Source organism: Homo sapiens, chromosome 1, assembly GCF_000001405.40.
Source record: "Homo sapiens chromosome 1, GRCh38.p14 Primary Assembly".
Classification (NCBI taxonomy): Eukaryota; Metazoa; Chordata; class Mammalia; order Primates; family Hominidae; genus Homo; species Homo sapiens.
In genome coordinates this window covers 152,690,611-152,703,303 of record NC_000001.11, presented here as the reverse complement: position 1 = coordinate 152,703,303, position 12,693 = coordinate 152,690,611, and the positions used below count along the sequence as shown (strand labels likewise).

Below are 12,693 nucleotides of genomic sequence, written 5' to 3'. Positions count from 1 at the left end.
ATCTCCATTTGCTGATGGCATATCTCAAGAAGTCTAAGAAAAACCAAAAACTCTAGAACTAATAAATGAGTTAAAAAATGTTGCAAAGTACAAGATCAACAAAAGTAAACAAAGCACATTTCTACAGGTTAACAGTGAACATGCCAAAAGTCTAATACCATTTATAATCCTTCCAAAAAATTTTAAATGCTTAGGTATACACTGAACAAAACATGGACAGAACTGGTATACTGAAAATCACAAAACAATGAGAAAGAAATCAGAGAAGATCTAAATAAATGGAAAGATACACTGTGTTCAAGGATTGGAAGACAACAATAAAGATGTCAGTTTTCACGAAATTGAGCTAAAGGTTTAATACAATTCCCAACAAAATCTCAGCAAAGTTTTTTTTTTCAAATTAAACTTGTTTAAAAATTTATATTAAAAGGCATAGGCCCTAAAGTAGATCAAATGGCCTTGCTAAATAAGAATAATTCTACCCAATATTAGGTCTACAGTAACCAAGATAATATGGTACTGGTGTAGGAACAGACATAGAGATCAATGGAATGGAATAGAGAACTCATAAATAGGCCTACACAAATATGTTCAATTCATCTTTGACAAAAGTGCAAAAGAAATTAAATGGAAGAATATCTTTTTCAACAAATGGTGTTGGAGCAATTGGACATCAACAGGTAAAAAGAAATTTTGAGCTAAACCCTACACTTTATACAAATGAACTCAAGTGGAAATGTAATGGCATTAAATAACTAAAGTAATCACTGAGTGGCAAAAGATATTTGCATTACACATAACAAATAAAATCTGGTACCCAAAATACAGAAATAAAATGCCTACCCATCCTTACAAAATAGAAACACATAATAGAAATGTGAGCAAAGGGCTTGAAAATAAATCTAACAAAAGGGGAGGTTCAAATGGCCAATGAAAGGTGCTCAACTTCACAAATAATTTAGAAAATGCAAATTAAAAAGATAATAATAGATACTGACACTCATCCGATTAGCAAAATTAAAATGGTGTGCCAGTACCACTAATGGTGAAGATGCAGAGCAATAGAAATTATCATACAATACTGGTCAGGATAAATATTAATGCAGTCCCTCTGGAAAATATTTTGTTGTTATCCAGATAGTTGAAAATATGTCTACCCAGTAATCATACTTCTGGGGAAAAATAAAAACCTCCCAGATATGTCCCAGAAGACATATACAAGAATTTTCGTAACAGAATTAGAATTATTCATCAAAAACTAGACACAAACTAAATCATCATCATCAGTAGAATAGACAAATATGTTTTGGTATCATTGTAAAATGTAATAAACTATTCAATAATGAAAATGAATAAAGTACAGATCAACATACAGTAGTGTTTACCTTCTCAACTGGACATTGAACAAAGAGAAAAAAATTACATAAAAATGTGACTCCTTGTTTATAAAGCTTAAAAACTCAACTGAGAAGCATACATCGATGGTAAAACTACAATGAAAATTAAAAATTGTGACATGCTTACTTTGGCAGGGGTGGAGAAGAGTCTTGTGATTGGGCAACATGGGGCACCTCTGGAGTTCTAGCAGTCTTCTCTTTCTTATCCTCACTGTGGTTGGTATTATTTGTGTTTCTTTTTAAAGTACATAAATATATTTTATTTTTTCTTTTGTATATAGGTTGTATCTCACAATAAAAATGAATATACTAACAAGTTAGGAAGTAAAACAGCAAGCAAATAAAACCTTAGCAGAAAGTCTTGAAGACTACATGTATAATTTAAGAACATGAAAAAAAATCTCTTAACCGAGAAGTCTAAAACTTTCAAGATAAAAGAAAATTTAAAATGTCTTATAGCAAACAATGTTACTATAAGCCAATATGGCTCATTAAAATATAAGGAGGAAGGGGAGAAGTATGCTGGCTAATTTTATGGAGACTTGACTGGGCCATAAGGTGCCCAGACATTTGGTCAAACATTACTCGGGCTGTTTCTGTGAGGATGTTTTTGGATGAAATTAACATTTGAATTTGTAGACCGATTAAAGTAGATTACTCTTCCCTATATGAGTGGGCTTCATCCAATCAATTGATGACCAGAATAGAACAATAGGGCTGAGTAAGAGGAAATTTCTTCTGCCTGACGGCTCTGTGCTGGGATATTGATCTTCTCATGTGCTCAGACTGCAATTTCCACCATCAGCTCTCCTGGTTTCCATGCCTTCAGACTCAGATGAGAACTATCAGCTCTTCTAGGTTTCCAGTTTTCCAACTACAGATCTTGAGATTTCTCAGCCTTCATAATCATAAATCCATTTCCAATTTCTTGTCATAAATTTGTATCTCTACCTATATCTATAACTATATCTATATTTCTGTCGAGACCGATATCTCCTATTGGTTCTGTTTCTTTGGAGAACCCTGGCTAATGCAGAGGGAAAATACTTAAGATAGACCAGAAGAAAAAAAAAAAAACAAGGAGTATAGTGAAAAATAAGTCAGAGTATATGAATATGTAGTTTGCAGAAAAACAAAAAAGAAAAAGTGTGGGCAATACATATATGAACATAGACTCAGAATTAGTACTATGAGATTTCAAATTAAACTAACAATGACATATAATTACCTATAGGAGTTGCAATAATTACAAAAAGGAGCAAAGAAAGAAGCCTAAAGCATGATAGGGAGGGACTAGAGTGGAAGAACACAAGTGGAGATGTTAATTGGTACCCATCCGTATCATGCAGAAGAAGGGACAGGATGCTTTATTAGCCCATTTTCAGCAGGGCCTTGCTCTAAACTGAGCTCATCATCTCACCGCAAGCACCTCACAGTCTGCTGATAGACTAACTATTTTTAATTCCCCTAGTGGTGCCCTCACTCTTCTTCACACTTCCTCCCCAAGGCACAGAGCCCCAGTCATCCAGACAAGCTGCTTCTCCGTCCTAAAATTCTTTTAATATGAGTGCTGAGCTGAGGAGACCTGAACCTAAGGAGGGCTAGACCCAGGCTGGGCTACATGCAGCTTATTTTACAGCTACATAAGAGTGGTTTTTCTTTTTTGTTTATTTTGGTTTATGTTTTGTTTCATATATATTGTTTGAGAGTGGTATTTCTCATAATTCTCCTTCACACCCTCCAGGCCTGATCCTTTGCAGTGAGGCAGGCGTAGCAATAAAAGTGGGACATGGCCCGGACCCCTGTTCCATACTCTGCTTCACTTAGCCATGGATTGAGTCACAGGAACTGAGCAGGCCCATACTGAGGTGTTCCTTCAGCCTTACACTGCTTACGTATTTATTTAACAGTTGTTTCGTGGAGAGGCTGGAACATGAAAGAAAGCAAGAACTGGACAGACTCTTCCTCCCTGGAGAGTAGTTAAGTGGCAATGAGTTGTCATTTAAACTTGCCCCTAAGGGTTCTGATTCTCATACCAAGCATTTTAAATCAGATGAAAAGAATTCTGTTAAATATACCTTTTTGCTTGGAGTACCAAAGATTTTTCTAGCTTTGTCATCATGGTATGAAGAGAAAATGAAAATAAGTTACATTCAGCATGGTGAGTTAAACTGAGCAAGCAGCACATGGCCAGCGGTTCTCAGCCCTGGGGCTGTCAGTCCCTTCAGGCCCCTGCCTGGGCTGAGAGGGTCCACATCTCACAGTCTCCAAGTGCACACAGGCAGTCCCATTGAGAAGCCCTACTGTGAGGCTGCTCTTTCAGGATTGACCCTCTGGAGACTGCTTCCAGCATACCTCTTTCTCACACTCCACTCCTACCAAAGCATCCTTAAAAGTGTACGGCTGGGGCACTGGACTTTAAGGGATTTGAAAAGAATAGAAGAATTGACAATGGCCAGGGTACTTCACGAAGAGGCAAAAGAGCTTTATTGTTGTATGAGGTAAAGTGGGAAGGTAAGATCAGGATCCAGGATGGGCTCTTGGGCCATGACAACAGACAAAACACCTCACAAGGTGTGTCAGCCCAAGGAAAGGAGAAAAAGGGGCAGGAGAAGCATCACTCTGGGACAGGTCCTGGTTGCAAGTTTCTCCATAAGGGTTGCTCTGTGATGTTCGAGGTCTGGTCAGCAGCAGTCCCCAGAGCTGTGGCAGCAGCCAGAGCCCCCAGAAGGTTCACACTCACAACAATCGGGGCTCTGGTGCCGGTGCCGGTGGAAGAGACGGGGCCTGTGGTGGCTCAGGCAGCAGCCGCCACCCCCAGAGCTGCAGCAGCCCCCAGAGCTGGAGCCGCAGCAGCCCCCAGAGCTGGGACCACAGCAGGAAGAGACTGGAGGTGGGCATGGGGCTGGGCACTGAGGTCGGCACTTTGGAGGACACTTGGGTGGGCATTTTGGGGGGCACTTGGGAGGGGGCTGGCACTGCTGCTGGTTTTGCTGGCAGGACATCTCAGTGCGACTTTTTCAACCTGAAATTCGAAATAGTCAAACCCTTTAGCTGTGAAAAACCAAGGATGGCAATTTTATCTCTTTTAAAACTAAATCATATGGTGATGGTGAATAATACTCAGTGTGTGTATATATATACACATACACACATATATATCAACAAGTGAAAGAAAACAAATCCTGCTGAATGAAAATATATACTTGAAAATCAGATATAATAAGAAGCTTCTTATTCTTTTAGAAGATAGGCAGTATTTTCTAATCTTCATGAGCTTGAATAAAGTATTCATACCCAACAAAGTATCCATTTTTGAAATATAAGAATAAGCCCTTGATGAAACTGTCAGATACACATTTCTCACAGCCCAAGGCAAGATTTCCAGAAACTCAAGTCAGACTGTATCTCTTTTCTGCATATAATAGCACAGAATCAAAGAAATAACTCTCTGAAGCCTCCCTTAATCTTCCCATTCCCCTGTGCCCTCTGGCTCCCAGGTTGCCACTCACCCTGGTCACACACAGGAGCACAGACACGTCCTGGGGAAGTCAGAGCAGATGAGGTGCTGGAGCTGAATATGTCTTTTATAGGCTCAGGCTTGGCTCTGGGAAGAGCGGGAAGTGGCTCTTGCACAACCAGGCACGTGCTGGGTCATTCCTCACATTCCCCTGCCTCCTTGTCCCTACAATCCAAGGAAGCACTGGGAGCTCCCAAGACCTCCCTCTGGGAAGGGGGTCTAAAGGAGCTTTAACCAGTCACAGCCCCCCCCAGGCTGGTCCCCGTGGAGCTGCCAGGGGATTCTTAAGGAGCTTGTGCCTGGACAAAGGCTCAAAGAGTGACTTCTGAGAACACCAGAGATCCTTGCCATAGCTTTCCTGTGGAAGTATGCTATTCCAGCTTCTTCCCATCCCCAAGTATAGTTTTCCAAGCCCTGCTTCCACAGCTAGGCAGGTTTCTTTGTGGCATTGAGTCAGAGACCATTTCCTTCCTAGGATACACTCCTCCCCTTCTGCTCAGCCCTCATTCCTGACCCCATGTTGCTGTGTGGCCTGCAGAACCCTGCTAGGAGGATTAATAAGTGAATCAAGATGGTTTCCTCAGATTTGGTGGTGATGATCATTGTGACTAAACTTCTTCACTTAGAAATTAAAATGTCTACTGTGTAACAAGGCAGTTTTTAAAATAAGCCAATAGTTTTTTGAATTGGAATCAGAAGAGCTCTGTGTTTATGAGCCCAGTGACCTCAAAGACTATATATAGACAATCTAAATCCTCAACTGTAAAACAGGCCTATTAGCACCTTCCTCTCTGAATTGTTGGTTCCATCAAGTGAGGCTTTTGCACATGATAAGGCACAAGGAAGACACTTAAACAATGTCATTTTTTAAAAGAACGAGGGCAGTGTGTGAGACAGAAAAATGGACAATATTCAGTCCCTGTCTTTGAAAATTTTATTTAAAAATATAGGTAGGCTAGCGAAGGCTCTCTTAGGAATGTACAGTGTACATTCAGGATTTTGAGAAGTCTAATTATTTCTTGTCAAGAAGGTGATGGGAATCAAATGATTTATTTAATCTTCTTAGTGAATGACAGGAGAGTAAGGAATCTGATACAATTTTGGATTAGATACATTCATCCATTAATCAATTTATTTCATCCATCCATCCAACATTTACTGAAAACCTACTGTATGGCATAAGTTAGAATACAGCTTTTGAAAAAGATAGTCCCTTCTTTCATATACCCTTGGTCTAGAAGGTAGGAGTATATGGTCTTTACATTTCTGTCATACTAAGAGATGCCCCATCTCCAATAGTTTTCTTTTCTAGTCTCAGATGTAGTTCCCTACCCTTGAGAGTGTTCAGGTCAAGAGTGAAAAATGTTGATATCCAAACATAGCAGTTAATCAAGAAGATACTGCTTTGTCAGCTCCTAGGTATTCAGTGATTTTCTATCCAAACACTTAGGTTTATAGAGGCAAACACTGTGTGTGTTTTGTGACCTCTAGGAATTCACAATTCAGTGGATATTCTGAAGACCTCTGTGAAATTTATGTGCATACCAAATGAGTCTATTTTCCAATGAGATTGTTGGGACACTGGATCACCTGATAATGCCTGAGGGAATGTCATGCTAGGTTCCTCATTCTCCTTGACAAAGATGATAGTAACCATGAAGGAAGAGAATGGGATGGGCTGTGCCTTTATGAATGTGTGTGTATGTGTGTGTGGGCAGCATGGGCATGAAGGTGTGCTTGCAAGTCCAGGGACAAGCACAGCAGCGTGGCCAAGGGTTGGAGAGAAGACTCCAAAGCTGATATGTGCCTCGTTCACAGGAAGCCAGTCTCAGCAGACAAAATGTCCTTCCATATTTTTTATGATAAAATATGGTCAGTCACTGTTAGAGATCAGGCTTACAGCCTTTGACACCAGTAAGAATTCTAGACAATCTTGGCTCTATGTCCACGGATATTAAGTCACCAGAGCATGAGCTCAGAATCAGGTCTTACCCATTGTTTCTTTTCCTGGGGAGTCTAGCAGTTGACCATAGACTATTGATTAGATGGATGAATGAATAAATTAAATGTTATTAGAAGAATTACCTGGGAGTTATTTAAAATACTTCCTTTAAGCCACCTCTGCTTTGCCTAGAAAGTCACTGACCTGCAGTTTGATCCTGCCAAATGTCTTCTAAGAGGCAAATATTTTTGCTGTGACCTCAAACTAACTCTATCACAAAACCTCCTGATCTCCAAAACACGCTCTCTCTTTGTGGTATTTCCTCTCTTATTCACCAGGCATGGGACCTTACCAATGTCACTCATCCCTCTCCTTCAGCTTCTGCAAGCAGTAGGTTATTTTATAGTTTCTTGTTGTAAAACACATCTCTTAGCTCATTTCAACCTCTCCTTCCCTCTGAAAACAGACAATCCCAGTCCTAAGCCACCAGCTCATAGAGCAGACCTGGAGGTGAGGTGAGAACCAAGTTTCGTAACAAGAGTTGACTCCATAGTGAACTGGGTCCCTGAAACTATTGCCCAGTGGCTAGATTCCTGCTGAAGCCATTTATAACTTTTGAGCAGAAGAAACTGGTGGGGTATCCTGGAATCTCCCATGATTTTCCAAAGAGATAAAAGAGGAGAAAAGAATATCAAGAATATCTAGGCATGCTGGGTCAGATGGTTGTAGATATGCAGCATTATTTCTGAGGGCTGTGTTCTGTTCCATTGGTCTATATCTCTGTTTTGGTACCAGTACCATGCTGTTTTGGTTACTGTAGCCTTGTAGTAGAGTTTGAAGTCAGATAGTGTGATGCCTCCAGCTTTGTTCTTTTGGCTTAGGATTGTCTTGGCAATGCGGGCTCTTTTTTGGTTCTATATGAACTTTAAAGTAGTTTTTCCCAATTCTGTGAAGAAAGGCAATGGTAGCTTGATGGGGATAGCATTGAATCTATAAATTACCTTGGGCAGTATGGCCATTTTCACAATATTGATTCTTCCTACCCATGAACATGGAATGTTCTTCCATTTGTTTGTATCCTCTTTTATTTCGTTGAGCAGTGATTTGTAGTTCTCCTTGAAGAGGTCCTTCACATCCCTTGTAAGTTGGATTCCTAGGTATTTTATTCCTTTGAAGCAATTGTGAATGGGAGTTCACTCATGATTTGGCTGTCTGTTATTGGTGTATAAGAATGCTTGTGATTTTTGCACATTGATTTTGTATCTTGAGACTTTGCTGAACTTGCCTATCAGCTTAAGGAGATTTTGGGCTGAGATGATGGGGTTTTCTAGATATACAATCATGTCAACTGCAAACAGGGACAATTTGACTTCCTCTTTTCCTAACTGAATGCCCTTTATTTCCTTCTCCTGCCTGATTGCCCTGGCTAGAACTTCCAACACTATGTTGAATAGGAGTGTTGAGAGAGGGCATCCCTGTCTTGTGCCAGTTTTCAAAGGGAATGCTTCCAGTTTTTGTCCATTAGGTATTATATTGGCTGTGGGTTTGTCATAGATAGCTCTTAGATTATTTTGAGATATGTCCCATCGATACCTAATTTATTGAGAGTTTTTAGCATGAAGTGTTGTTGAATTTTGTCAAAGGCCTTTTCTGAATCTATTGAGATAATCATATGGTTTTTGTTGTTGGTTCTGTTTATATGCTGAATTATGTTTATTGATTTGTGTATGTTGAACCAGCCTTGCATCCCAGGGATGAAGCCCACTTGATCATGGTGGATAAGCTTTTTGATGTGCTGCTGGGTTTGGTTTGCCAGTATTTTATTGAGGATTTTTGCATCGATGTTCATCAGGGGTATTGGTCTAAAATTCTCTTTTTTTGTTGTATCTCTGCCAGACTTTGGTATCAGGATGATGCTGGCCTCATAAAATGAGTTAGGGAGGATTCTCTCTTTTTCTATTGATTGGAATAGTTTCAGAAGGAATGGTACCAGCTCCTCCTTGTACCTCTGGTAGAATTCGGCTGTGAATCCATCTGGTCCTGGACTTTTTTGGGTTGGTAAGCTATTAATTATTGCCTCAATTTCAGAGCCTGTTATTGGTCTATTCAGAGATTCAACTTCTTCCTGGTTTAGTCTTGGGAGGGTGTATGTGTCCAGGAATTTATCCATTTCTTCTAGATTTTCTAGTTTATTTGCGTAGAGGTGTTTATAGTATTCTCTGATGGTAGTTTGTATTGCTGTGGGATTGGTGATGATATCCCCTTTATCATCTTTTATTGTGTCTGTTTGATTCTTCTCTCTTTTCTTCTTTATTAGTCTTGCTAGTGGTCTATCAATTTTGTGGATCTTTTCAAAAAACCAGCTCCTGGATTCATTGATTTTTTGAAGGGTTTCTTGTGTCTCTATTTCCTTCAGTTCTGCTCTGATGTTAGTTATTTCTTGTCTTCTGCTAGCTTTTGAATGTGTTTGCTCTTGCTTCTCTAGTTCTTTTAATTGTGATGTTAGGGTGTCAATTTTAGGTCTTTCCTGCTTTCTCTTTTGGGCATTTAGTGCTATAAATTTCCCTCTACACACTGCTTTGAATGTGTCCCAGAGATTCTAGTATGTTGTGGTCTCGTTGGTTTCAAGAACATCTTTATTTCTGCCTTCATTTCATATGTACCCAGTAGTCAGGAGCAGGTTTTTCAGTTTCCATGTAGTTGAGTGGTTTTGAGTGTGTTTCTTAATCCTGAGTTCTAGTTTGATTGCACTGTGGTCTGAGAGACAGTTTGTTATAGTTTATATTCTTTTACATTTGCTGAGGAGTGCTTTACTTCCAACTATGTGGTCAATTTTAGAATAAGTGTGGTGTGGTGCTGAGAAGAATGTATATTCTGTTGATTTGGGGTGGAAAGTTCTGTAGATGTCTATTAGGTCCACTTGGTGCAGAGCTGAGTTAAATTCCTGGATATCATTGTTAACTTTCTGTCTCGTTGATCTGTCTAATGTTGACAGTGGGGTGTTAAAGTCTCCCATTATTATTTTATGGGAGTCTAAGTCTCTTTGTAGGTCACTAAGGACTTGCTTTATGAATCTGGGTGCTCCTGTATTGCGTGCATATATATTTGGGATAGTTAGCTCTTCTTGTTGAATTGATCCCTTTACCATTATATAATGGCCTTCTTTGTCTCTTTGTTGGTTTAAAGTCTGTTTTATCCGAGACTAGGATTGCAACCCCTGCCTTTTTTTGTTTTCCATTTCCTTAGTAGATCTTCCTCTATCCTTTTATTTTGAGCCTATATGTATCTCTGCACGTGAGATGGGTTTCCTGAATACAGCACACTGATGGGTCTTGACTCTTTATCCAATTTGCCAGTCTGTGCCTTTTAATTGGAGCATTTAGCCCATTTACATTGAAGGTTAATATTGTTATGTGTGAATTTGATCCTATCATTATGCTGTTAGCTGGTTATTTTGCTCGTTAGTTGATGCAGTTTCTTCCTAGCCTCGATGGTCTTTACAATTTGGCATGTTTTTGCAGTGGCTGATACCGGTTGTTCCTTTCCATGTTTAGTGCTTCCTTCAGGAGCTCTTTTAGGGCAGGCCTCGTGGTGACAAAATCTCTCAGCATTTGTTTGTGTGTAAAGGATTTTATTTCTCCTTCACTTATGATGGTTAGTTTGGCTGGATATGAAATTCTGGGTTGAAAATTCTTTTCTTTAAGAACGTTGAATATTGGTCTTCAGTCTCTTCTGGCTTGTAGAGTTTCTGCCAAGAGATCAGCTGTTAGTTTGATGGGCTTCCCTTTGTGGGTAACCCGACCTTTCTCTCTGGCTGCACTTAACATTTTTTCGTTCATTTCAACTTTGGTGAATCTGACAATTATGTGTCTTGGAGCTGCTCTTCTCGAGGAGTATCTTCGTGACGTTTTCTGTATTTCCTGAATTTGAATGTTGGCCTGCCTTAGTAGATTGGGGAAGTTCTCCTGGATGATATCCTGCAGAGTGTTTTCCAACTTGGTTCCATTCTCCCCATCACTTTCAGGTACACCAATCAGACTTAGGCTTGGTCTTTTCACATAGTCCCATATTTCTTGGAGGATTTGTTCATTTCCTTTTATTCTTTTTTCTCTAAACTTCTCTTCTCACTTCATTTCATTCATTTGATCTTCCATCACTGATACCCTTTCTTCCAGTTGATCCAATTGGCTACTGAGGCTTGTGCATTCGTCACATAGTTCTCATGCCATGGTTTTCAGCTCCATCAGGTCCTTTAAGGACTTCTCTGCATTGGTTATTCTAGTTAGCCATTTGTCTAATTTTTTTTCAAGGTTTTTAACTTCTTTGCCATGGGTTCAAACTTCCTCCTTTAGCGCAGAGCAGTTTGATCATCTGAAGCCTTCTTCTCTCCACTCCTCAAAGTCATTCTCTGTCCAGCTTTGTTCTGTTGCTAGAGAGGAGCTGCGTTCCTTTGGAGGAGGAGAGGCACTCTGATTTTTAGAATCTCCAGTTTTTCTGCTGTTTTTTCCCCATCTTTGTGGTTTTATCTACCTTTGGTCTTTGATGATGGTGACGTACAGATGGGGTTTTGGTTTGGATGTCCTTTCTGTTTGTTAGTTTTCCATCTAACAGTCAGGACCCTCAGCTGCAGGTCTGTTGGAGTTTGCTGGAGGTCCACTCCAGACTCTGTTTGCCTGGGTATCAGCAGCAGAGGCTGCAGAACAGCGGATATTGGTGAGCAGCAAATGTTGCTGCCTGATCGTTCCTCTGGAAGTTTTGTCTCAGAGGAGTACCCGACCATGGGAGGCGTCAGTATGCCCCTACTGGGGGGTGCCTCCCAGTTAGGCTACTCGGGGGTCAGGGACCCACAGACTGCCTCCTCAAGTGGGTCCCTGCATTAAATATTTTAATAAGGCGGATCAAGTTTAATATCTGTGATATATCAAGAGCCCTTGAAAATTGAAAAGAAAATTTGAAATCATGTTATGAAATTTGTAGAAATGGCCAATGTACGTGTTTTTAGAAGAACAAAATTACTACTGTTCAGGGACTTGAAATTTCAGTTAATAATGAGACTGGCTGAGCTCTTTAGTTTAATTAGATCCCATTTGTCAACTTTGGCTTTTGTTGCAATTGCTTTTGCTGTTTTAGTCATGAAGTCTTTGCCCATGCCTATGTCCTGAATTGTATTGCCTAGGTTTTCTTCTAGGGTTTTTATACTTTCAGGTTTTACATTTAAGTCTTTAACACCCATTTTGAGTTAATTTTTATATAAGGTGTAAGGAAGGGGTCGAGTTTCTGTTTTCTGCATATGATTAGCCAGTTTTCCCAGCACCATTTATTAAATAGGGAATCCTTTCCCCATTGCTTTTTTGGTCAGGTTTGTTGAAGATCAGATGGTTGTAGACGTGTGATGTTATTTCTGGGGTCTCTGTTTTGTTCCATTGGTCTATATATCTGTTTTGGTACCAGTACCATGCTATTTTGGTTACTGTAGCTCTGTAGTACAGTTTGAAGTCAGGTAGCTTGATGCTTCCAGCTTTGTTCTTTTTGCTTAGGATTGTCTTGGCTATATGGGCTCTTTTTTTGATTCCATATGAAATTTAAAGTAGTTTTTTGTAGTTCTGTGAAGAAAGTCAGTGGTAGCTTGATGGGGATAGCTTGAATCTATAAATTACTTTGGGCAGTATGGCCATTTTCAAGATATTGATTCTTCCTATCCATGAGCATGGAATGTTTTTCCATTTGTTTGTGCCCTCTCTTATTTCCTTGAGCAGTGGTTTGTAGTTCTCCTTGAAGAATTCCTTCACCTCCCTTGTAAGTTATATTCCTAGGTATTTTATTTTCTTTGTAGC

At 39.8% G+C, this 12,693-nt stretch overlaps 1 protein-coding gene across 1 annotated transcript; it reads right to left on the bottom strand.

Moving 5' to 3' along the window:
• Positions 1-3,861: 3,861 nt before the first annotated feature.
• LCE2A (late cornified envelope 2A) lies at positions 3,862-4,959 on the bottom strand. Its single transcript, NM_178428.4, has 2 exons — positions 4,910-4,959; positions 3,862-4,422 (listed from the first exon to the last, which is right to left on the bottom strand). Exon 2 carries the CDS (start codon positions 4,400-4,402, stop codon positions 4,082-4,084), a length of 321 nt encoding a protein of 106 aa, NP_848515.1. The 5' UTR covers positions 4,403-4,422; positions 4,910-4,959; the 3' UTR covers positions 3,862-4,081.
• Between the last annotated feature and the right edge of the window lie 7,734 nt (positions 4,960-12,693).